At 39.0% G+C, this 24,833-nt stretch overlaps 1 protein-coding gene and 1 pseudogene across 3 annotated transcripts, besides 3 other annotated features; both read left to right on the forward strand.

Annotated features, from left to right (window-relative positions):
• Positions 6,255-6,604: an enhancer, noted in NCBI's record as "active region_21799". NCBI's record gives its function as "activates an Ori minimal core promoter by ATAC-STARR-seq in GM12878 lymphoblastoid cells {active_cell/tissue: GM12878}" and the evidence as "EXISTENCE:reporter gene assay evidence [ECO:0000049][PMID:35858748]".
• OSTC (oligosaccharyltransferase complex non-catalytic subunit) lies at positions 6,315-23,536 on the forward strand. Of its 3 annotated transcripts, NM_001267818.2 has the most exons (5): positions 6,315-6,510; positions 11,280-11,373; positions 13,166-13,363; positions 18,949-19,022; positions 22,963-23,536. In NM_001267818.2, exons 1-5 carry the CDS (start codon positions 6,372-6,374, stop codon positions 22,971-22,973), a joined length of 516 nt encoding a protein of 171 aa, NP_001254747.1. In that variant the 5' UTR covers positions 6,315-6,371; the 3' UTR covers positions 22,974-23,536. The 3 variants fall into 3 exon arrangements, with proteins under 3 accessions (NP_001254747.1, NP_067050.1, NP_001254746.1); NM_021227.4 differs by lacking the exon at positions 18,949-19,022; NM_001267817.2 differs by lacking the exons at positions 13,166-13,363; positions 18,949-19,022.
• Positions 7,219-7,268: an enhancer, noted in NCBI's record as "active region_21800". NCBI's record gives its function as "activates an Ori minimal core promoter by ATAC-STARR-seq in GM12878 lymphoblastoid cells {active_cell/tissue: GM12878}" and the evidence as "EXISTENCE:reporter gene assay evidence [ECO:0000049][PMID:35858748]".
• Positions 7,866-7,971, forward strand: RNU6-431P (RNA, U6 small nuclear 431, pseudogene; annotated as a pseudogene).
• Positions 8,711-9,225: an enhancer, noted in NCBI's record as "H3K27ac-H3K4me1 hESC enhancer chr4:109574151-109574665 (GRCh37/hg19 assembly coordinates)". NCBI's record gives its function as "activates a minimal SCP1, AML or CMV promoter by ChIP-STARR-seq in primed H9 embryonic stem cells {active_cell/tissue: H9 hESC(primed)}" and the evidence as "EXISTENCE:reporter gene assay evidence [ECO:0000049][PMID:30033119]".
• Positions 23,537-24,833: the final 1,297 nt, after the last annotated feature.

Here is a 24,833-nt window from a genome sequence, read left to right on the forward strand (position 1 = left end):
CCCATTTCATATTGTCTTTGCCCTCAGCAAAAATCTCAGCTGGTTGTGGTTTCTTGCCTGTTGGAGTGACCTAAACCTTAATCCCTGAAAGGTCTAAGCCACTAACAGTCCTGGCTCTATTGGGTTGTTGTAATTTTCCATTGAAGTTTATCACAGGATATGGGATTACTAAGGCATCTCAGGGGATCTACTGCATTCCAGACATACTCCTCCTTACTACTATTTTGTGATGACAATCTAATTTCCTCTTGATTGTCAAGATAAATCTGCCTAGCCCATAAAGTATTCTTTTATCTGTTTCTTGATTCATTGGCACGAGGACTTGTGAAGTGGCTAGCTGACAGTCTCATCTCTCAAATTAATGGAACCATTAATGTGTTCCTTGGTGGAAGTATTCTTCTTTGGTACTAATACTTCTAGATCAGTAGAGCCCTAAGTTGAGTAAAAGCAAGAGGAGCCATTCCCATTCCCTACACATGATTTCTGGACTTGTGAATTCTAACTGTGAGAGAAATATGTTGCTTACTGATTTACTGCATATATGTATCTTAGAAAACACGGACCTGCTCCCAAAGGGGTTGCCATCATAACTGAGTTTTCAAAAGACCATTCCACCATTTCACATACTAAGACTAGTAAGTTTCATGAACATGAGCCAATGGCCACAACTCATTTGCTGTTAAATGAGTTCCTTGGCCAGAAGCAATGCTGTATAGTAAACCATGGTGATGATTATGGCATTCCCTAGGCCTACAGAATAGTGATTTTGGTAGCAGCATCATGCGTAAGGAAGGAAACTTTGTTCTAGTGTGTTTACTTCAGTAAAAACCAAGTGCCTACTGGACCTGGTCCTATATAATTAACTTGCCACCAGGTCTGGCTCATCCTCCTGTAGAATAGTGCCATATTGTGGGCTCATTGTTGGTTTCTCCTGTGGCAGGCTGGGCACTCAGCAGTGGTTCTAGCCAGATCAGCCTTAGTGAATGAAAGGCCATGCATAGCTTCCATCCCTCCTGCCATGGCCACTTCATCTGTAGGTCCTTTGGGCAAGGTCACAAATGGATATGGAAAGAGGCTGACTGATGTCCACAGAATGGGCCATCTTGTCCACCTAATTATAAAGATCTTCCTATGCAGAGATTGCTCTTTGGTAAGCACTCACATAAGGCACAAATATCTTTACATAGATATCCTGTAGGGATAGACCCCTACAGGAAGGTCTATCCACATGCCTCTCCTCCAGACCTCCTCAGTAATTTTCCTATTGTGTTCCTTCCCATTTTTCAACCATCTGACTAAATGATTGAACTGCCCATCAATCTAACTAAATGATTGATCTGCAATTCTTGCTGTTGCTCCTTCCAGGCAAAATGAACAACCAGGTACACTGCTAAAGTTCTGCCCAATGGGAAGATTTTTCCTCACCACTTTCCTTCAGGCCTACCACTCTCCTTCATAGTGAGGCTGTTGTGCAAAGCCATCTACTTTCAGAGAGTGCCAGCACATTGTGTGGAACTATCTGTAAATCAGGCTTTCTTCTTCAGTCAACTGGTCATAGGTTGCCTGAAGGTATAATGCCATAGATATAGGTTGAGAGAAAAGAGACAATGTGGCAGGAATGTGGGCCATATGCATTTGAAACTATTTTTTGTACAACTTACTTGTACCTTCAAGATCTACTTGAGCTTGATCTTATGCACAACGCTTTCATTTGATGATAGAATGCTGCTGTAGACACCCACGTTTATTGGATGATAGATTAGACAATGCCAAATTGTCAAATGATGGGTAGTTCAAGTTTCATGGTAGCTTGTTGCCCACGGTCAATAGTTTCATCTCTACTAAGGTTCAGTGGCAAGCCTAGAGTCATTTGTCAATGACTGCCTGTGAAATAATCTCAGTGGCAAGCCTGGAGATTATTTCTTGACAGAGGATGACATAGGTTTGCGCCAAAGCTCTAAGGCTCTGTGCTACAGTGGCTTGTCAAAAGCTTCATAAAGCATGCCTATCTACCACAGACGTTACAAGTAATACTGGATCTACTAAGTTGTATGGCCCAAGTGGCAGAGCAGTTTGCTATTGAAGAACCTTTGCTTATTCAGGATCCCAATCAAAACTAGCAGCTTATTGGATTGCTCAGCAAATACATCAAAATGGTATGACCAAATGAAGTATATGTTGCAAGTGGTCCATCCATTGAGCATTGTGCAGCAAATATCCTTTATTTTGAAAGAGCTTTCTATGTATTACAGATCACTTAACCCCTAGACATTTCCCTGAGGAGACCCTGACATTTTATTGTGCTTATTTTTCCATCCTCTGGCATGCATTTGTCCTAACAATATATCTACTGTAGTTGCTACTTAGATCACTGTCTAATGAGCATATTATCAATGCAATGTCATAGTGTGATATTCTGTGAATGAGAAGGCAATCAAAGTTCCTGCAAATCAGATTATGACATAGAGCTGGGGAATTGATATAATTCTGAAATGGAGGTGTGTTGCTGACTCTGCCAGTTGAAAGCAAACTTCTTCTGATGATCTTTACCATAGGCATAAGTAGAAACAGCATTTGCCAGAACAGCTAACAGGTGCCACGAGATGTGTTGATGTGCTCCAGCGACAAAACCACAAGTGGAATAGCAGCAGCAGTTGGAGTCACCACATGATTAAATTTACAATAATCCACTGTTGTTCTCCAAGGTCCATCTTTCTTTTGCAAGGGCCAAGTTAATTGAGCGAAATGTGGCAGAAATCACTACTCAGCATCTTTCAAGTCTTTGATAGCACATCAGCCACTGAAGTCACTTTAGATTTATTATTTCTGTAGGTAAAAGCAGTTCTACTGGTTACACTTAGACTTTCCTGCCATAAAAGCCCTCATAATATGGGTCAGGAAACCAATATGGTGATTTTTCCATTTGCTGAGTACATTTATCCCAATTGTACATTCTAGAACTCAGTGATCTCACTACCTCTGGAAGGAGAACTAAAATTAGAATAGTGATAATGGGAAACTCGTTCCATATGTGTCTCTAATATTTGAATAAATTAATTATTTTACATTGGGCAGGTTCCTATGTTTTACTTGCATAATTTTATTTCTTATTTTCATTATTTATTTGTTTATTCATTTATTTTTAGAGATGGAGTTTCTCTCTTGTTGCCCAGGCTGGAGTGCAATGGCACGATCTCGGCTCACTGCAACGTCCGCCACTCGGGTTCAAGCCATTCTCCTGCCTCAGCCTTGCAAGTAGCTGGGATTAGAGGCATACACCACCATGCCCAGCTAATTTTGTATTTTTTAGTAAAGATGGGGTTTCATCATGTTAGTCAGGCTGGGTTCGAACTGCTGACCTCAGGTGAGGAGGCCTCCCAAAGTGCTGGGATTACAGGCATGAGCCACCGTGCCCAGCCATTACTTGCATATAATTTTAAAAACAACCTTCAAAATGTAAAATAACTACAACAATAACACCAAACCCCACAATATTGCATTAGAAAGAGTTTTTATTTAGATCATGAGACATAATAGTGCTTCGTACTCATGCTTATACAGAACCTAGCGCGAAAGAACATAATTCAAGACACTGTCAACCAAACTGCAAAATGTCTTCATAAATAAAAATCCAGGTTAATATTAGTATTATTATCCTACAAAAAACAAAGCTACTAATTTCCTCTCCAACACATATTTAAATAAACAGAAATCAACAATATTTGTAGCCTTTGTAATTCTAGTTTGTTTAGAATTTAGTTAAAAACTTATTTGTGGAGCTCTCCCTCTCTTTTGGCTGGCAGAACCATTTCTGACTTCAAGGCTTTTTATTAAAATATTCTACAATGAACACAGAAAGCTTGGTAGATACCATCTTTACACTTTTTTCTTCTTTGAATATATATTTGCTTGTGCACAGTAAGAATTATTAACATTTGCTTTTATATGTAGCTTAAGATGACAGCTCTACTGCATATTATATTGTAAACTGTGTTTCTCTCAACATTTTTCCTTCTTCATCTATAAATAGAAAACCACTGAATGATTGATTATATGTTTATTTAAGGGCATGCTCTAATGCCCACTGCTATATTCATTATTTCTTTGGTTTTCAGTTACAGAGTTTATGTTATGTTTAAATAGAACATTTTTCTGTAGGAATTGTGGGTTAGGACATGGATGATAACAGATATGCATATCTTACTCATGAAAGGTCTCTTTTATACGTGGCTTATAGAATATTACAAACTCATGTTGAAAAATATTTCAAAGCTTAAGAGGTTAAAAAATAATAATGAATTGGTTCCTGGAGCAAACTTACTTTTTGGAAAGTGATAGTAATAATTTAACATATAGATGAATGCAGTGTGTTCTGACTTGGCAGTTTTATTATTTATGAAATTAATTTTTCATTTAAAAATTATATATTAATAATTTATATGTTTTCCACAATGTAGGTAGAAATTATGTGTCCCTAGTATACACAGGAAGAAGGATAAGTATATAAACGTATACCATTTTAAACGTCTTAAATCTATTTACTTCTACAGCAATTGCCTTTTAGGTCTCATCCAGTCACAGACTATACTACACTTTTTGAGTTTATTTCCCTTCCCAGGAGCCACTTTTGTCATATGTAAAGCAGTTATACTAGTATTTACCTAACAGAATTGTCATGAAGAGTATATAAGCACAAATGTAAATCACTTAACATAGTACCTGCCAAGCAGTGGTTAATTAATGTTAGATTCCTTTTTAAGCTATAAAGGAAATTTAAAAACCTTTAATCCCTATGTTTTTCCAAAGCAAAATGTTTTATTTTTATTTTTTTCTTCATACCAAAGCAAAATATTTTAATTGTTCCAAAGTGTTCCTTACTTATAAAACTGTGGGAATTTCAGAAACATTCTGCTTTACAGTGCCCAGAGAAACTTCCTACATATAAACGCTGGTTTTGGTGTAAATGCATTCATTATTGGTGTTATCATTGGCCTTTACATAACCTAAGATTCGTGTGGCTCCGTTAAGACATAGGCAATATGACTCTGGGAGAGACTCTCACTAATGAACAGTAAGGGCAGCAAGCCTCAACTGTACTTAGAATTGGATACTACAATGTTTTGATAGTATTTTCATTACCGTCTTCAAGCAATTTCTTAACAATTGAGTTGTTAGCTAATTAGAAGTGCAGAACCAATACATGGCATCCTGTAAAAATAACCACGGGCTTAGTAACAAGCAAATAAAAAAATATAAAAACATTGGCTCTATAATGTGTCAATATGCTCTGGACTTATGTAATCAGTGACTCTTAACTCTTGCTCCAAAAGGAAGTTAACATTTGTAGAGTCTTAAAAGATTATATAAAAAAGAAAAGCAAAACAGAAAACAAAAAATCTTTTAGACCTTCTAGTCCATCCCTAATGACTAATTCTCCATCATATATTTTCATCTATTTGGATTGTAAATGTTGCCCAGACCAGAGATGGCGGTGGTTCACACTAGGGTGTCAGTGGTGGAATGGTGAGGGGCAGATGAATTGGAGATATTTTGGTAGTACAGCCAAAGAGACCTACTAATATTTTGGATGCAGAAGGTTAGTAAGGAGAGAAATCCAGACGACTTTAAGATTTTTGGCCAGAGGGATTTTACCTTTTAGCGACATACAGATGACCAAGGGAAGAGCAAAGTTGAGAGGATGAGTTATTCAAAATAGTATTATGGTCACGCCAAGCTATCAGCATTAAGGCATCCCTGTAGAGATGTCCTGTTGACATTTGTGATCCAGGCTGGATGTTTAAAAAAAATTGGTAACATATTACTTTAGCAACTATTATTAATTCTTATTATTACCACGACTACATCGGGAAGTAAAAGCTCAGCAGCCTCCGGCTTTTCCTAACCCTTGAAAAAACCTCTAATATAAAAGGCATTTATATCCAAAAGTTCCCATTCATCTCCCGCTCTGGGAACCGGGAGCGCCCCCTGTCCAATCAGCTTTCAAATCCCCTGCGTCAGCGAGTGGGCGGGGCTCACCTAGATTCCTTGGCCTCCGCTTCTCCGGCTTGGCCACGTTAGAAGTCCCGCAGGTCCTTGAAGGTACACAAATCACCTATATATCCATTAGAAAAATGTAGAGTACATTATCACAATGTAAGTTTAATTAGATTAAATAATTTACAACACTTTATTCATATCATTTATTTGTTTTATTTAGTTTCTTATTTTCTTCTATGAGTATAGTAACCACCTCCGAGCTTTACGGATCTGCGGGTCCTTTCCTCGCGCACGCGCACTTGTTAGGGAGGGCGGGCCTGTTTCCGGGAGGCGCGTGGGGCTTGAGGCCGAGAACGGCCCTTGCTGCCACCAACATGGAGACTTTGTACCGTGTCCCGTTCTTAGTGCTCGAATGTCCCAACCTGAAGCTGAAGAAGCCGCCCTGGTTGCACATGCCGTCGGCCATGACTGTGTATGCTCTGGTGGTGGTGTCTTACTTCCTCATCACCGGAGGTAACTCGGGCTGTCGGGCCCGAGAGGCTGAGGAGCGGAGAACTGACCCGCCCCGGGAGGCGCGTCTGTTCCGCTGACTCTCAGCCCCGGGGGAAGCATAGCTCTGCTTTGGATCTTTTCTGAGGGTGGAGGGGAGTTCTGGGGTCCGAAGTGTTAACGTCCAAGTTTATTCGCCTTCACGCCCTGTCTTAAGAGAATTCGTGTTCTCACTCCCATTGCCTTTCTTCTCCTTCTAGCCCTCCCATCCCAGGGATCCGAGTCAAATATATTTTTCAAGGCCAAATTGTTGCTCTTTTTGTTGCTTGCCATACGTTGTTTGATAAATGTCCTGGGAAAGCCTAATTTGGCAAACTCCGTTTCCATGGTTGGTTGTTTGATAAAGGTCCTGGGAAGGTCTAATTTGGCCAACTCCGCTTCCATGGTTGGTCAAGAGCTTGTGGGACTTTTAAACTTATCTTTGTCCTGGAATCTTGGAAGAGACTTGACAATCTTTAGTTTTGTTGGCTCAAACCTAGGGTTCTGTGTTGCCTTTTGCATGACCTACAATAAATATCAATGGAATTTTCTGAAATCACAGGTTTGATAAATATTTGAGATTGGAGATGAGATTTGCAGACGATACTGTATTTCAGTGGGCAGAAGTTGAGAATTAAAAAAATAAGATAAATAGCATTACTATTAAACGCTTCTGAATTGTCTATCATCTTATTCTGTCCTTTTCAAATAGAAAATTGCAAAGGGGCGTTGCCTTATGTACTGGTGAGTTGGCAATCCGGCTAGTCTTTTCAGAGCCACTACCCTTTCAGGCCACAGTTCCAAGATTTACTTAGAACTGTGCTACTGTGTACATTTAGATTTGGGGAAGTGGTGTACTTAACTTGGAAATTATAAAATTAATTTAGATTTTGGGAAGTGGTGTACTTAACCTGGAAATTATAAAATTAAAGCTACGGATTTGGGATAGCAAAAGTAGTTCTACTTTTAAGGGAGTGGCCATATAATTGTTATTTTCATAGATGTTTTGTGAGAATAGTTGGCACTGAAGGGGGAGGATTCAAACTGAGAGAGCTGAGTTCTAGAAAGCACCTTTGAATTTACCTCCTTCCCCCAATCTAGAATAGTGAGAATTAACTTACGTTCATTTAAATAAATTACATTTAAATATTTGAGTTACATTTAAATACTTATTTGGTAACAAGATACTATCTAGCATTGCATTAGCATTAACCATTAACATTTGCTCATCAAGTTAATAGCTACTGTACTGAATAAACAAAATTTAAAATGCATGTGGCTTTTAAAAATAATAGACTTTTAAAAATAAATAATATAGAATAATTCAGTATTATTATTGAGTGCTCGCTTCGGCAGCACATATACTAAAATTGGAATGATAGGGAGAAGATTACCATGGCCCCTGTGCAAGAATGACTCGCAAATTCGTGAAGCGTTCCATATTTTTGCACAGTTCACGAAGGTCGTTGGACAAAAAAAAAGTCATTATTCAATAATAATAATGAATAATGCTAGTTTCTTTCCTGTAACCCTTACTTCCCTTGGAGTCGGATTCTTTGCGAGAAGCCTCAGTTTTCTTTGTGGCCCTCTTTTTTCTCCTGTTGATTATTGTAATGGGGAGATTCTTTGTCCCAACCATTGGGGGAAAGTGGAAAGGTTGCTTTTTAGTGGCCAGGTCTATGAGGTATCTTGTATGATGAATTGGTTTTGCCACTGGAAGGGAAGAAGTCTCTTCTAAAAACTGAGTGCACCTTTATAAATAAACTATTTGTTGCTGACAAATAGTCAGCAAATAGATACTGAGTCCCGTTAAGTTTCAGGCACTAGGTACTGGAGATAATAGAACAAAACATAAGGACCCTGACCTCCTGAAGCTTATAATGTCATAGATGAGACATATTAAATGTCACTTAATTTTTTTGTCCGTTAAAAATGTTCACAAAAACAGGCCAGGCGCAGTGGCTCACGCCTGTAATCCAACACTTTGGGAGCCTGAGCCAGTTGGATCATTTGAGCCCAGGAGTTCGAGGCCAGCCTGGGCAACATGGCGAAACCCTGTCTCTACTGAAAATACAAAAAATTAACCAGGCGTGGTGGTACACGCCTGTAGTCCCAGCTACTTGTGAGGCTGAGGCAGGAGAATTGCTTGTACCCGGGAGGTGAAGGTTGCAGTGAGCCGAGATGGTGCCACTGCACTCCAGCCTGGGCAACAGAGCAAGGCCCTGTTTCAGAAACAAAAAACAAACCCCAAAATTAGCTGAGCCTGGTGGCGCACGCCTGTAGTCCCAAGTAGCTGGGACTATGGTGCAGGAGTTTGAAGTGGGAGGATCGCCTGAGCCTGGGAAGCTGAGGCTGCAGTAAGCTGTGATGGCACCACTGCACTCCAGCCAGGGTGACAGAGCAAGACCCGACCCTCTCTCAAAAAATAAAAACAAACAAACAATGGTTATAAATACAGTGAAAGAAAAGAACAAGAGGTTTTTGAGAAACTAAAGGGAGTTGGAAGCATCATCTGGATTGGATTCGATATGATTCCTGAGGAAATGATATGTAAGCCAAAATCTGAAGAGTTCGGGGAAAGGATATGCTAGGCAGAGGGAAACGTAGGGCAAATGTGAGACCAAAAGACCAATTAGGTGGCCTTTGTAGTTGACTTAGACTATACAAGGTTTATGGTAGTGGAGATTAGGATAATATAATGAAAGATATGTTGGAAGTAGATTCAGTAGGTCTTGAATTCACTGGGTGTAGGGGAAGAATGAAGTGGGAAGGAATCTTACAGGTTTCTGGTTTGAGCTCCTGAATAGATGGAAGTATCATTTCCTGAGATTGAGAAAACAAAGTTTTTGGTGGAAAATGGTGCACCAGAGGTTGTTTTGGGGTAAAATTAGTTGGATATGTCACATGTGCAGATGGGAGTCTAGACCTGAGAAAAGAGGCCTGTGTTGAAGTTGGTCAACTAACAGACATTTCTGGAACTCCCATGAGACATTGAAGAGTATAGGCAAAGTCCAAAGTCTCTGTTCTTGAGGAGCTTACATGTAATTCTAATGGTACTGGCATTATTTGAGAGGCCTTGGCACATCACATTGAGAGTCTTTAGCACATGAAATTGAAAGCCCTGGGAGTTCATTTTGGAGAAAAGTAGAAGAGGACAGTGGACCAATCCCTGAGGGCCTCCAACATTTAGTTCTTTTATAAAAGAAGAGGCCCAATAGAGAGGTAGCAAGAAAACATGAAGAGGAGTATCACAAAAGCCATAAGAAGAGGTGTTTTTCAAGAAATTGGTTTAGTAAACTGGATTGAGTGCTTCTGAGAAGTCCCCTAAGATGAGAACTGAAAAGTGTCTATTGAATTTGACAACATGGAGATCATTGGTGACCTTAGAAAGAGCAGTATCAATGGTTGCAGAAGCCAGATTGGATTGAGTTGAAGAATGAAGGGTAAGTAAGAAAGGGGAGATGGCAAGTTTGCCTAAGTCTTCCAGAAGAAAGTCTGACTCCCTTTCAGAAAGCAAAGATAGAAATAGGATGTTAGCTAAGAGGATCTGAAGTCAAGGAGGGTTGATGTAGGGAAGGAGAGCTTGAAAATACAGGAGAGAGGAGAGATATCCAAAGGAATAAAGTCCCTGAGAGTCCAAGTGGGAATGGACTCCTGGTAATTGCAAAAGGGATCCCACATTATAGGAGGTGGGAATCTTCCTCTTTGTAGCTGGAAAGAAGGAGGTGAGGATGGATGCAGGTACCAGGTATTTGTAGATTTGGTGGGGAAAAGACAAGGGAATTCCTATAGGATTGTTTTGTCAGGCTAGGATAAGGGAGATAGGCTTGTTATGCTTAAGAAAAGCTGGAGATGAAGATGTTTGAGAACAGTGGAGAAGGTAGAGTAGATGTTGACAGTGGGAGATTGAGAAAACTATTAGTGCTGATGAACATTAATGTTAATGATCACGATGACATTATGACATAATGGTGGACATTAATGTTAATGATTATGAATCTCTAGTATTGCCATTCTGCCTGATGGCGTGGTTTTAAAATGTCTCCTTGTTTTACATTTAAGCAATTTCTCTAGTTATTTTTCAATTTATAGAAACAAATCTAAGCATATCTGAGACAATTTTTGTGAACCGAAGTAGAGCCTTTAGTTTTAAATCCCCTTTATACTAAAGTCATTCCTGAGTATTAGCAACTCTTATTGGATGAATTTCCTTTATGAAATTTGTACTTCATTTAGATATCATACAGTTTTCAAAGTAATTCTAAAACATTGAGTTGAATGTCTGAATGATTTATCAGAACTTTAGATGAGTTGGGCCACATTTGGTTATAATAATACAATCAAAGCATTCCTATTTAAAAGTAAATGAAACTTGGCCGGGTGCAGTGGCTCACACCTGTAATCCCAGCACTTTGGGAGACTGAGGCAGGTGGATCACCTGAGGTCAGGAGTTCGAGACCAGCCTGACCAATATGGTGAAATCCCGTCTCTACTAAAAATACAAAAATTAGCTGGGCATGGTGGTGGGCGCCTGTAGTCCCAGCTACTTGGGAGGCTGAGGCAGGAGAATTGCTTCAACTTGGGTGGCGGAGTTTGGCAGTAAGCCAAGTGGCGCCACTGCACTCTCAACCTGGGCGACAGAGTGAGACTCTGTCTCAAAAAAAGTAAATGAACCTTAAGAGACAATGAAAACTATAATCCTGTTTTCAAAAATTAGTAATACAATCTAATCTGTTCTGTTGTCTTTCTTATAGGAATAATTTATGATGTTATTGTTGAACCTCCAAGTGTCGGTTCTATGACTGATGAACATGGGCATCAGAGGCCAGTAGCTTTCTTGGCCTACAGGTAAAAGATACCTTTTTGAATGATTTGGTGGTGGGAAAGAAGGTTGCTGTGGTATGCCCACTTATTTAAAAATAGAGTAAAACCTATGGGATCCATGTGTATTTAGACAACAGCTGTTTTAAAATGCTGGATTCTGAAATGGCAGAAAGTGAGTCAAAAACAAGAGTATATTATTTATTTATTAAGAAATAAAGTATTTCATAATGATGTATCACCAATTTACAGTAGGGTGTCAGTTTAAACTACATTTATAGATTGTTCTGGGGGTCAGTGAACTATAGCTGCTTTTTTTTTCTTTTCCCCAAAAAAGTTTTATTGGAAGTAAGTATGCCCATGTGTTTTATATGATCTATGGCTGCTTTTAAGCTAGAGTGGCTGAGCTGAATAAGTATGACACAAACCATATACCCCACAAGCCTAAGATATTTACTATATGGGTATTTAAGAAAATATTTTTGGACTATACCCTGGTCTATACCATTAAATAACAAAAGTATTTTTGAGACTTTGAGGGTTCTGTTTCATCAGTGAAACCCCGTTCCAGTGTGGTTTTGTTCACCTGAACAATGCTTATATTGCTTTCTAAAATTTACTTAATATCTACCAAAACATAGCTATATGTTTATATTTGCAGTAATGCTATTTATGCATAGAATATTTCTGGAAAGATTTATTAGTATTCTCTGTGGAGGGGAGTTAATGACAGGTTGATGGTAGGGTGGCTCTTCATAGTGCCCTCTTTCACACTGTTTGAATTTTGAACTTGGTACATATATTGTGTTTTCAATGAAAACAATTGACCAAAAAAAAAAAAAAATACCCTGTTTACATATGCCTATGTATAATCATCCCTTTAACGAGAAATTTTCTTCTTGAGGTCCTTGAACTATGAGAATTTGATAAAAGCTCTGTATCCCTAGAAAAATCACACACACACACACTTTTACATATAATTAGAGGGGTTTGTAGTTCACTGAAGTTCTTATGGGACCCATGGAGCCTTATTTAAGAACAGTTTCTTTTTAAAATATTTCCATTTGAAACAAGAAGTTTATTATTATTAACATAAAACTTCAAGAAACACATCTAACCAATTCAAAATTAGTTTGAATTGATAGTAGAAATTTAAATAGCATAACTTTTTAAAAAAAGCTAACCTAGACCGGGCGCAGTGGCTCACGCCTGTAATCCCAGCACTTTGGGAGGCCGAGATGGGCGGATCACGAGGTCAGGAGATTGGGACTATCCTGGCTAACCCGGTGAAACCCTGTCTCCCCTAAAAATACAAAAAATTAGCCAGGCGTGGTGGCACGCGCCTGTAGTCCCAGCGATCTGGGAGGTGGAGGTTGCAGTGAGCCGAGATCGTGCCACAGCACTCCAGCCTGGGCGACAGCAAGACTCAATCTCAAAAAAAAAAAAAAGCTAAGCTAAAGTTCTGGGTAAAGCGTTCGTATACATAAAATATGAGTATTTATTTTACATAAACAGTTGTGTTAGTTGAGGTTTTACGACATTTTTTGAATGTGAACTCCATGAAGACAAAGATTTTTGTCTGTTTTATTCATTGTTGTATATCCCCCAGAACCTAAAACAGTGCTTGCTACCTAATAGACTCAATAAATATCTGTTGAATGGACAGATGAATATCCAGAGGTATAGTAAAATAGTTGTAAGGCTAAGAATAAGAAATATAGCACAAAAATGTTTTGGCACAAAAACGGAAATAGGAATTTCAATTTAAGGGAAACATTTCTATTTGTTATCTTTCTATGGTCATTCTTTTCTTTTCCAGAGTAAATGGACAATATATTATGGAAGGACTTGCATCCAGCTTCCTATTTACAATGGGAGGTTTAGGTTTCATAATCCTGGACCGATCGAATGCACCAAATATCCCAAAACTCAATAGATTCCTTCTTCTGTTCATTGGATTCGTCTGTGTCCTATTGAGTTTTTTCATGGCTAGAGTATTCATGAGAATGAAACTGCCGTAAGTTATTTGTGTAATCAGCACCTTATGTTGCAAATTGGTAAAATGATTACCTGGAAAATGTAAAGTCATAGGACATTTAATTTAACTTTCATTTACATGGGTGAAAAATCCAGAAACCAAATATATTTGTAACTTGGTCAGGTTACAGCTATAGTTAATAAAAATTGAAACTAATAGATCTTCTTAGTTGTTATCCCCATGAATGTTCATGAGAGAAAATTTAGTTACTTTGTCCTGGCATCAATGACTGAAGATAGTCATTGTTTCTTTTTTTTTTTTTTTTTTTTTTTTTTTTTTGAGACGGAGTTTCGCTCTTGTTGCCCAGGCTGGAAATGCAATGGCACAATCTTGGCTCACTGCAACCTCTGCCTCCCGGGCTCAAGTGATGCTCCTGCCTCAGCCTTCTGAGTAGCCAGGATTACAGGCATGCACCACAGCACTCAGCTATTTTTTGTATTTTTAGTAGAGGTGGGGTTTCACAATGTTGACCAGGCTGATCTTGAACTCCTGACCTCAGGTGATCCTCCTGCCTCGGCCTTCCAAAGTGCTGGGATTATAGGCATGAGCTACGGCGCCCAGCTGTCACTGTTACTTTAAAATGCCTTTTGGCTAATCTGTAACACAGAATTCCAGTAGTATTAATGGTAGGGAATAGCTTCAGATCACTCACTGTTGCTGCTCTTTGAATATTGGTAGGAAGAAAACCCATTATGCCTTGTAAGGGAAAAGAGAGTTATTGCCCTTCAAAAAGATAGGAAAAGGATATTTATATATTTGTGTGTGTGTGTGTGTGTGTATGTGTGCGTGTTTAATGTGTATTTAAAGATTATTTTGATTCAGAAAACTTTTCAATATCTTTAGAGGAAAAATAAGATCGTTTATGGCATCTTTCATAATTCTGTTTAAGATTATTTACTTGAAATGTGAACAAATACAATCACATTTCCATATATTCTAATTTAATTCATGGATGCATTAGTAACTACAGTAACGACAGGAAATTTGGGCAAGCATACCACAAATATTAGCTCTTAGTATTTTATTTTTAGTATTTTATTTTTTAGGGACTGTGTTAAACATCAAGTGTCAACTATACTGATTTCTTAGTGTGTTTGAATTTTACAAATTCACTTGTTCTGTGACTTAACCTGTCCATTGTCTGTAACACACCTGGGGTAGAATGGGCAAAAGTACATGATGATCCCACAATCATCATGTTCCCATTTTAGTCCTGGCAGGATGGGAGGGAAAGCATGGAGTTCTTTGTCAGCTGAATATCTGTGTGGCCATATAGCTGCTCAGTTTCCTCTGGCAGCAGCTCTTTTTTTTTTTTTTTTTTTTTTTTTGAGATGGAGTCTCACATTATTGCCCAGGCTGGAGTGCAGTGGTGCAATCTCGGCTCACTGCAACCTCCGCCTCCCAGGTTCAAGAGATTTTCCTGCCTCAGCCTCCCAAGTAGCTGGGATTACAGGCGCCCGCCACCACACCCAGCTAATTTTTTTTGTATTTTTAGTAGAGACAAGTTTTCACTATGTTGGCCAGGCTGTTCTGGAACGCTTGACTTCATGATCGACCCGCCTCAGCCTCCCAAAGTGCTGGGATTATAGGTGTGAGCCACTGTGCCCGGCCAGCAGCTCTTATTTTCATTTGGGGAAGGCATTTCTGGCCATTGGCTAAGTTGTGTGAAGACTAAGGTACTCCAGCCTCTTATTGTTCCTTGTTTTTCTGCTCCTAGTGGAAGTAAGTCACCATAGCCTGGTAAGGTGTACTTGTATAGAAAAGACTGAAGTTTTCATTAGCAGAGCAAGAAAAGAGGAGACTCCCAGATAGAATAAAGAGGTTACTGAAAGGCTCATGCCTGTAATCCCAGCACTTTGGGAGGCTGAAGCGGGCGGATCACAAGGTCAGGAGATCAAAACCATCCTGGCTAACATGGTGAAACCCCATCTCTTACTAAAAATACAAAAAATGAGCCAGGCATGGTGTCGGGTGCCTGTAGTCCCAGCTACTCGGGAGGCTGAGGCAGGAGAATGGCGTGAACCCAGGAGGCAGAGCTTGCAGTGAGCCAAGATCGTGCCACTGCACTCCAGCCTGGGCGACAGAGTAAGACTCCATCTCAAAAAAAAGAAAAGAAAAGAAAAGAAAATTTACAACCAAAACAAAAGAAACCTTTGGAGGCATGTGTCAGAACAGAGAAAGTGTCCTGGTTTTGCTTATAGAATCAAATATGTTCTCATTCTACCTACTGTTTTCATTCTACATAGTGTTTTCCTTCTTTATAGTTTTACGTCCTCTTCCTAGGAATGAGTCTATTAAGAAAATAGGTGTTATCTTTTAGCTTTGGCATTTGACTTTCAGGATAATAGAGCTATCTGCTACTGACAGAAAAGCTTTGACAAGTGTTTAATACTCTGGATTACCTTCATCTTACTTTTGCAATCATTTATGTGAACATTTGTCTTCCTGTCCACATTCTATAGGCTAGTATGTAACACCGTTGACTAAATCCAAACTTTAGGCTAGGGAAAAAGGGTATACTTTCTGGGTTTCGGTTGTAGATTATGTTTAGATCTAATCAAAACAGGACAGTGGTCCAAACAGAAAATTGCTATTTTCTGTATCTTGTAAATCTAGGATTTGAGTTTTTAAGATGAATTTATGGTTCCCTTTCTGATATCATTTCTCATCTGCAGCTCCTAATGCCTGGTACCTTGGGTATGGAGTGAGGAGAGACAATGGACAGTTTTATATAAGAAATGGAAGTAATGATACTATCTTTCCTGGAATATTTGCAGGCCCCAGAGGAGATGATGAGCAAGGACTGTTGGCCTGTATTACACACAACAGGGTTGTAGTTACTATCCCAGCAAGGAAAGGGTGTATCTTTCTTCTTTCATGCAAATTATCTATGATGACCTAACAGTTTGATTATAGTGAGTGGACTAACCACAACAATAAAAAAGATGTCAAAAAAACACCAATAGCCACTGGTTTTTCCAAATCAACTATGTTTCTAGCATCTGAGATAAAGGATGGCTGTATCATAAGATGCACCATGATAACCTCCAGGGTGGAATTCTTTTTTACAAAGATGTTACCTTTAGCAAGAGATGCCTTTGAAAAGGAGAAAACAGTAGCACTGAAACAGTATTACTGGTTCTGTTTTCTGATTTATGCTTTTTTGAAAGACCTGATGTTTCCCCTATTGATATAATTTTACTAATTAAAACATGTTTTATTTGATGTCTTGAGTTTTGAAGAAACGTCGAAAATGAATGACTGTTGGCTGGGCACAGTGGCTCAGGCCTGTAATCCCAGCATTTTGGGAGGCCGAGGTGTGCAGATCACTTGAGGTCAGGAGTTCAAGACCAGCCTGGTCAACGTGGTGAAAACCAGTCTCTACTAAAAAATAAAAAAATTAGCTGGGCGTGGTAGTGCACGCCTGTAATCCCAGCTATTTGGGAGGCTGAGGCACGAGAATTGCATGAACCCAGGAGGCAGAGGTTGCAGTGAGTCGAAATTGTGCCACTGCATTCCAGGCTTGGTGACAGAGTGGGACTCCATCTCAAAAAAAAAAAAAAAAAAGAATAAAGAATGATTGTTTATTAGCTTTGCACACATAGCAGTACATTTAAAAGGAAAAAATTAAACGTAGTCCCTAATATTTTTATTAGTACAGTCTCAAAGGAGTAATTTTCATTGTGAAAATGAAAATATTCTAATATAATTTATGAGATAATGTATGTGAAATCATGTATGTATGCGTCTGTATGTTCACTGCATTTTAAATATACATAGACTCAAAGGAAATAATGTTCGGTTACTGAGTAGAAGACTGGTACACGTTTGAACTTGATTCTTCTGAAAAAATAATGAATCTTCATTAGATTGTCTTTAGCCTCCACTCTTAGGGCAGCTTTAACTTAAAAGCAGAATCTTTTTCTTTTCTTTTCTTTTTTCCTTTTTTGAGACAGTCTTGCTTTATCACCCAGGCTAGAGTGCAATGGCGCGGTCTCGGCTCACTGCTACCTCCGCCTCCCAGGTTCAAGCCATTCTCCTGCCTCAGCCTCCCGAGTAGCTGGGATTACAGGCATGTGCCACCATGCCAGGCTAATTTTTGTATTTTTAGTAGAGATGAGGTTTTGCCATTTTGGCAGAGGCTGGTCTCGAACTCCTGACCTCAAGTGATCTGCCTGCCTCAGCCTCCCAAAGTGCTGGGATTACAGGCGTGAGCCACCATGCCTGGCCAAAAGCAGAATCTTAAAAAAAATAAAAATAAAAGGTGGCCTGTGGTGGCGTGGTAATGCCCTAAAGTCAGGTGAGGTGTTCAATTGGAGATGGAGGGATGGGTTCCTACATTCAGGCAAGTCTGTTATAAAGCTGTATAAAACTACTTGAAATAGATACTATCAGATAATTGAGGACAAAAGGTCTGCCTTATTTCAGCTGGCAAAAATGGCTTTTTAGCAATTTCACCTAGTGTTTATTAAGCTTGAGAAGAAAAGCTAAGGATCTTCTGGATAAATCCTGAGATCATGGGATCAGTTCAGAAAACAAGTTCTCTTAAAGGGAGAAAGGAATAAAAAATATGAATGTAATAATATTTAAACTAACATCATTTAGGGAATGATATGCTGCATATATGTGATTCCATGTAATTGAAAATACATAAATACTAAAACATTGTATTCATTTTCGACAGACCCTCTTTCTAAAGCGTTTGTTGTGTTGTATTACACGTTAACACTCATATTTGTATGTAGCAAATATTTATTTGATAACTGTTACTTGCTGGACACTGAGATTAAACATAATTTAACCTTCTCCACTGAGGTCATTTTACATTTCTGTTATGCATAGTACTACTTTTCAGTTTTGTTGATTTCACTGGCTTGTCACTTGTCATGGTGATCAGTATATACCTATTGTAATTTCATCCTTTCCCTCTTCTTCTTTTCAGTTTGCTGGTTATTCTATGACTTGAGGGAATAGATAACCTAGCTATTAATTACCTTTTAAATCAGTTCTGGCTGAAGGAGAGCTTAATGGCTTGGCTTTGTAACCATACTTTCAGATGTTTGAGAATCTCTTTCATTTCCTTCCAGATTTGGAGCTATATTTTAGAGAGTTAAGGCTGTAGAGAAACTAGCAGCTGGATTGTTTCAGCGACTAAAAAGCTGATATCCGAGGTTCATTTTTAGCAAATAAGGGACGTAATTCATTCTAAAGAAACAAAACATTTGTACAGCTGCTGAGGACAATGTGTAGTAGAGAGGGTGAGGAATTTGGAGTCCAGTTTTGGCCTGCCACTTAATAGCTCTGAGACTTTGGATTAGTTCTGTGAACTCTCTTGGCCTCAGGTTCCAAACCTGTTAAATGAAGTATTAATGTACCTTGGGGAGTTACAGTTGTCAACATTAAATGAGAAGGTGTGCTCTCAATCATAATGTAAGTGTTAATCAATGTCAGTGTTTTCATTCTAAAGATAGAGTCCTAAAAGTTCTGTTTCAAGTTAGATTATGGCCACAGTTTCAAAAATAAATGAATAAACCATTACTGTTTTTGTTTTGTTTCGTATTGAGACGGAGTCTCGCTCTGTTGCCCAGGCTGGAGTGCAGTGGCGTGATCTCGGCTCACTACAAACTCTGCCTCCCAGGTACATACCATTCTCCTGCCTCAGCCTCCCTAGTAGCTGGGACTACAGGCGCCCACCACCATGCCCAGCTCATTTTTTGTATTTTTAGTAGAGATGGGGTTTCACCGTGTTAGCCAGTGATCTCCTAACCTCGTGATCCGCCTGCCACGGCCTCCCAAAGTGCTAGGATTACAGGCGTGAGCCAAGGTGCCCAGCCTGAATAAACCATTACTGTTTCTAAAAGAAGAAAGTGAGGTTTCCATTTCTAGGACCATTGGAGTGGGTAGTAGACCAGGAGTGAGGAGACTTGTGTTTTAATGCTGGTTTTGTTCTTTTCTGGCCTTGTGATTTTTGAGCAAACGACTTAATTGCTGTCACACTCTTCATCTGTAAAATGAGACTAATCCTTGTTTCACACACCTTTTTAAGATTGTTGCAAGGGTTAAATGCAATAATGAATGTGGTAGTGTTTTGAGAAGCTTCTATTAGTGCTAACCTAGCACAGAGCTTGCCTTAATATACAGAGGCACTGAGTGATTATTGAAAGAATGGCCTTAAAGATTAAATAGAAGGTCCTTCATGGTGGCTTCTCCTGTCTCTAGTTGGTTTTTGAGTTCTTGATTTACTTTTTATTGTATTTATCTACGGTTTTACTTATGTAAAATTCTCACAGGCCTGAATATAAGATTATGAAATTTTCTGGGTCAAGAGAGGGGGCTAAATGATTGAGTATATATTATAGTAAGTGTATTTCAACAATTTTATTTTTATTTCTTATCAAGAAGTATAGTAATGTATTTGTTCTTCTTTTCTTTTTTCTAACATGGTATCGTTATAACATTATAATATTTCTTAGTATCTCCCAAATTGTCCTTAAGGTAAAACTATTTTAAGTTTGGCAGCTTTGAACAGGACATGTCTATTTAAATATTCTTTTCTATCTAAATATAGGTTGACAAGCATGGGTCACCCACTAGTTACAAGGAAGGATACCATAATATATAGCTATATTAAGAGATAGAGTACAAAGTGTATATTCACATATAGGTATATGCAAATTACAAGAAGTTACTCCTAATGAGTCTTTAGTACTCTTGTTTCATAGTGTAAGCTAGCTGTTGGGTAACTTCTACTACAGAGTGCAGATATTAGTGGATGCTTGCTTAAAATCTTCTTGAACCTTTTTTTTTTTTCTTGTGAAGCTTATGTTTTAAAGTATCCTTTTTGTGACACATCAGGCATTATAGTAGCAAATTTATGTGAGGTCTTTAAATTCAATGTATATATCCAAAGAACCTTTTAATTTTTAATTTTTTTTTTTTTGTGGGGGACGGAGTCTGGCTCTGTTGCCAGGCTGGAGTGCGGTGGCATGATCTCGGTTCACTGCAATCTCCGCCTCCCAGGTTCAAGTGATTCTCCTGCCTCGGCGTCCTGAGTAGCTGGGACTACAGGCATGCACTACCACACCCAGGTAATTTTTGTATTTTTAGTAGAGACGGGGTTTCACTGTGTTGGCCAGGATGGTTTCAATCTCTTGACCTCGTGATCCGCCTGCCTCAGCCTCCCAAAGTGCTGGGATTACAGGCGTGAGCCACTGTGCCCAGCCAAACCTTTTTATTTTTAAATTTTTGTTCAGTTTTGGATTTGGGAGGAGGTGAGAAGTATCTGGTTGTCAAGGTGGTTGTGTTAGATGAAAGTTCTCTTTACTCAGAGTGTGTGGATTGGCCAGGCTGATACAGCAGAAAGAAGAGTGTGTGAGTTCTAGGTTGATTGCATTGGCTGAACATAAGTCTAATCATACAGGGAGTCAAGTGAGTTCAGAAGCTGAAAGGGAGGGAAGTCACATTTTTGAGTGTTTGCTGTGTGCCAAGCACTGGAGGAGACCTCAGTATTGTCAAGTAGTTTTTAAATCTTACGTTACCAGTGAAGAAACTTGGGACTCTAAAAATAGCAGCTAACATTTGTGAAGTGCATGTAACTACGAGTAGCAATTACTATATGAGTAGATTCTCTTATAATCCTTAAAACCCTTTGAGGTAACTCCATTTTACAGATGAGGAAACTGAGTGAGGTTTGCCAGGCTCATGCAGTAAGTGGTAGAAGCAGGGTCAAAAGAAGAGGCGTTCTGAAGCCGTCAGTGAGTATAAGGTGTTGTAAACCTTTTTTTTTTTTTTTTTTTTGAGACGGATTCTTGCACTGTTGCCCAGGCTGGAGCACGGGGTTTCACCATGTTAGCCAGGATGTTTTGTGTTTTGTTTTGTTTTGTTTTGTTTTTTCTTTTTTTTTTTTTTGAGATGGAGTTTCACTCTGTTTGCCCAGGCTGGAGTGCAATGGCACAATCTTGGCTCACTGCAACCTCCACCTCCTGGGTTCAAGCAATTCTCCTGCCTCAGCCTCCTAAGTAGCTGAGATTACAGGCGTCTGTCACCACGCCCAGCTAATTTTTGTAGTTTTAGTAGAGGTGGGTTTTCACCATGTTGGCTAGGCTGGTCTCGAACTCCTGACCTGGTGCTCCACCTACCTCGGCTTCCCAAAGTGCTGGGATTATAGGCATGAGCTACCATGCCCAGCCCAACCCTTTCTTAATGTGGATACTTGTACATAATTTTTCCATTTTTTTTTCCTGATCCTGTAGATTCTTAATTAATAATAGACTTTAAGGGTTTATTGCCAAAGGAAAGGTTTGGAACTTTTATAACACCAGATTTAATGCTTTAATTTAAAGGGGATTTCAGGGCCTAACTTGCACATTTAATAAAAGGATCTCCTGTTTGACCAGCATGAAGTTTGACCTTACCAGCAGGTACAGCTAAAGCTCCTAACTGTTATCCAGACATTTCCTGAAGTATTAGAGGTTCAGGGGCAGATGTTTGTGCACACTTTTTTGAAGTCTCAGAGGCTCACCTCCCAGTCCTGAATAGCTTCTGATTCTCCCACTTCTCTTCTGGTAATATTAGAGTTTTTAGAAATCCAAACCAGTTTCTTTACATAAAAAAAATTTTGATTTTGTTGCACTTCTGAGAGCCTAAAATAGATTGATTCTGACTCTTAACTTTAACTTTTAGATATCATTTTCTTTTCTTTACTTCCTTTTCTTATTCTGTGTTGTTTGGCATACTGCTTTGTAACTTTAAGAGGGAAGGGCCAGGCGCGGTGGCTCACACCTGTAATCCCAGCACTTTGGGAGGCCGAGGTGGATGGATTAACTGAGGTCGGGCATTTGAGACCAGCCTGGCCAAGATGGTGAAACCCCGTCTCTACTAAAAATAGAAAAAGTTAGCTGGGCGTGGTGGCGGTCACCTGTAATCCCAGCTACTTGGGAGGCTGAGGCAGGAGAATCGCTTGAACCCAGGAGGCAGAGGTTGCAGTGAGCCGAGATTGCACCATTGCACTCCAGCCTGGGCAACAAGAGCAAAACTCCATCTCAAAAAAAAAAAAAAAACTTTGCCGGGCTTCACGCGTGTAATCCCAGCACTTTGGAAGGCCAAGGCAGGCGGATCACCTGAAGTCAGGAGTTCCAGACCAACCTGGCCAACATGGTGAAAACCTGTCTCTATAAAAATACAAAAGTTAGCCAGGTGTGGTGGCACGCGCCTGTAATCCCAGCTACTTGGGAGGCTGAGGCAGGAGAACCACTTGAACCCGGGAGGCGGAGGTTGCAGTGAGCTGAGATCACACCATTGCACTCCAGCCTGGGTGACAAGAGCAAAACTCCATCTCAAAAAAAAAAAGGAAAAAGAGGGAAGGATAGTAGAACTGAGGCTCAGTAATTTATTTGTATATTGGGGTGAGGGGGGCAAAATATGAAATAAGGACCATAATAAAGAATCACGCAATTATATTTTTGGATTGTTATTTGATATATCATAAAATTTGTTTTGGCATTTTGAAATACTATGATAATAAGAGAATATAAAAACAATTCTTTTCACTTTTTGTGCTTATAATTATATTTCTGCAGGGGCTATCTGATGGGTTAGAGTGCCTTTGAGAAGAAATCAGTGGATACTGGATTTGCTCCTGTCAATGAAGTTTTAAAGGCTGTACCAATCCTCTAATATGAAATGTGGAAAAGAATGAAGAGCAGCAGTAAAAGAAATATCTAGTGAAAAAACAGGAAGCGTATTGAAGCTTGGACTAGAATTTCTTCTTGGTATTAAAGAGACAAGTTTATCACAGAATTTTTTTTCCTGCTGGCCTATTGCTATACCAATGATGTTGAGTGGCATTTTCTTTTTAGTTTTTCATTAAAATATATTCCATATCTACAACTATAATATCAAATAAAGTGATTATTTTTTACAACCCTCTTAACATTTTTTGGAGATGACATTTCTGATTTTCAGAAATTAACATAAAATCCAGAAGCAAGATTCCGTAAGCTGAGAACTCTGGACAGTTGATCAGCTTTACCTATGGTGCTTTGCCTTTAACTAGAGTGTGTGATGGTAGATTATTTCAGATATGTATGTAAAACTGTTTCCTGAACAATAAGATGTATGAACGGAGCAGAAATAAATACTTTTTCTAATTAATACCTTTTATATTTGTTTTTTAACTGACAGTGTTAAGTTTTTGGTCTATTAATCATTCATTCCCACCCATCTTATGACTTTCTTTAGCTACTTTTGGTAGCCTAAGATTTCAAAATATGGTTGGCAGGATGCCTTGAGAGTTAGCATCTTTATATCCTTGTAAATATTCAAGCACAGGCTGCATATCTATGTCAGAGTTGTCAATGTGAATGTGCTAGATGAGCACATGTAGAAACATCTCTGGGGCCGGGCGTGGTGGCTCACACCTGTAATCCCAGCACTTTGGGAGGCCGAGGCGGGCGGATCATGAGGTCAGGAGATCGAGACCATCCTGGCCAACACGGTGAAACCCTGTCTCTACTAAAAATACGAACAAACAAAAACATCTCTGGACCAATCTGGTCTTAATTTCTTCTATCCAGGCCTTTTGGTTCTCCCTGGCTGGCCATGGGCTTCACTTCTCTGATGGCTCAATTCATTCTTTCCTAAGATCTTCAAGTTTATAGTGAAATTTTCTCTCAAGTGAGCTTTTTTCCTGCTTATTCCAAGGCTGATTTAATTATAACCATTCTTTAAGTAAAAAAGGACTTATTTATTCAAAAATTCTGAGTACCTTTTTCATGCTAGGCAGCACTGAGAATGTCATGGTGAGTAAAATGAATAAAGGCTGTGCCCTTATAGAGCTTACATTCTTGTGGGGAATCAGCAGACTTAAAATGTTTTAAACTGTCAGATACTAGTAAATTCAACAAAGGGGAAAAAAAGCAAGGCAAGTGAAGGTCTGTATTATAGAGAATAATGGGAGAGATGGAGAAAAAGGGTTGCAGTATTTCCAAAGCCTTGAGAAAGGAAAACAGGACCTATATGCACTTATCAACTTAAAAGACTTGATTCAATAGTAAGAACTTTTTGGTTTGTTTTTTGTTTTTTGGTTTTTTTTTTTTTTTTTTTTTGGTCATTTGCTGTATTTTAAAACCTCGTTCAAACTAGGTGGACAGGAAGTAACTCATGGGTGATTATGGCTTCAAAAGTCTGCTTTTTGTCATATTGATTGAGCAGTGAACAGTTCCTAGTTAAGTACCATAAGATGGTGCTGTTAAGGTTTGTTGTTTTTTTTCTGTTTCAAAGCTCTTAAGGCTTTTGGGGGGAATAATACACGTATCTTTACCAAATAAAGTGAAATATATTTAAAATAATTATATTTTAGAATATCAATAATACAAACTTTTAAATCAATGTGTAAAATGTTTTGCTGGTAAAAGCACAATGATTATGGGAAGAAACAAACTCATTGTAC

Source organism: Homo sapiens, chromosome 4 (assembly GCF_000001405.40).
Source record: "Homo sapiens chromosome 4, GRCh38.p14 Primary Assembly".
Taxonomy (NCBI): Eukaryota; Metazoa; Chordata; class Mammalia; order Primates; family Hominidae; genus Homo; species Homo sapiens.

Excerpts from the sequence above, each read along its gene's own strand:
- OSTC (NM_001267818.2), top strand. The coding sequence starts at position 6,372 with ATGGAGACTTTGTACCGTGTCCCGTTCTTAGTGCTCGAATGTCCCAAC. Across the intron at positions 6,511-11,279 it reads TTACTTCCTCATCACCGGAG|GAATAATTTATGATGTTATT; the intron begins GTAACTCGGGCT and ends TCTTTCTTATAG. Across the intron at positions 13,364-18,948 it reads TTCATGAGAATGAAACTGCC|ACGGAGTCTCGCTCTGTTGC; the intron begins GTAAGTTATTTG and ends TTTCGTATTGAG.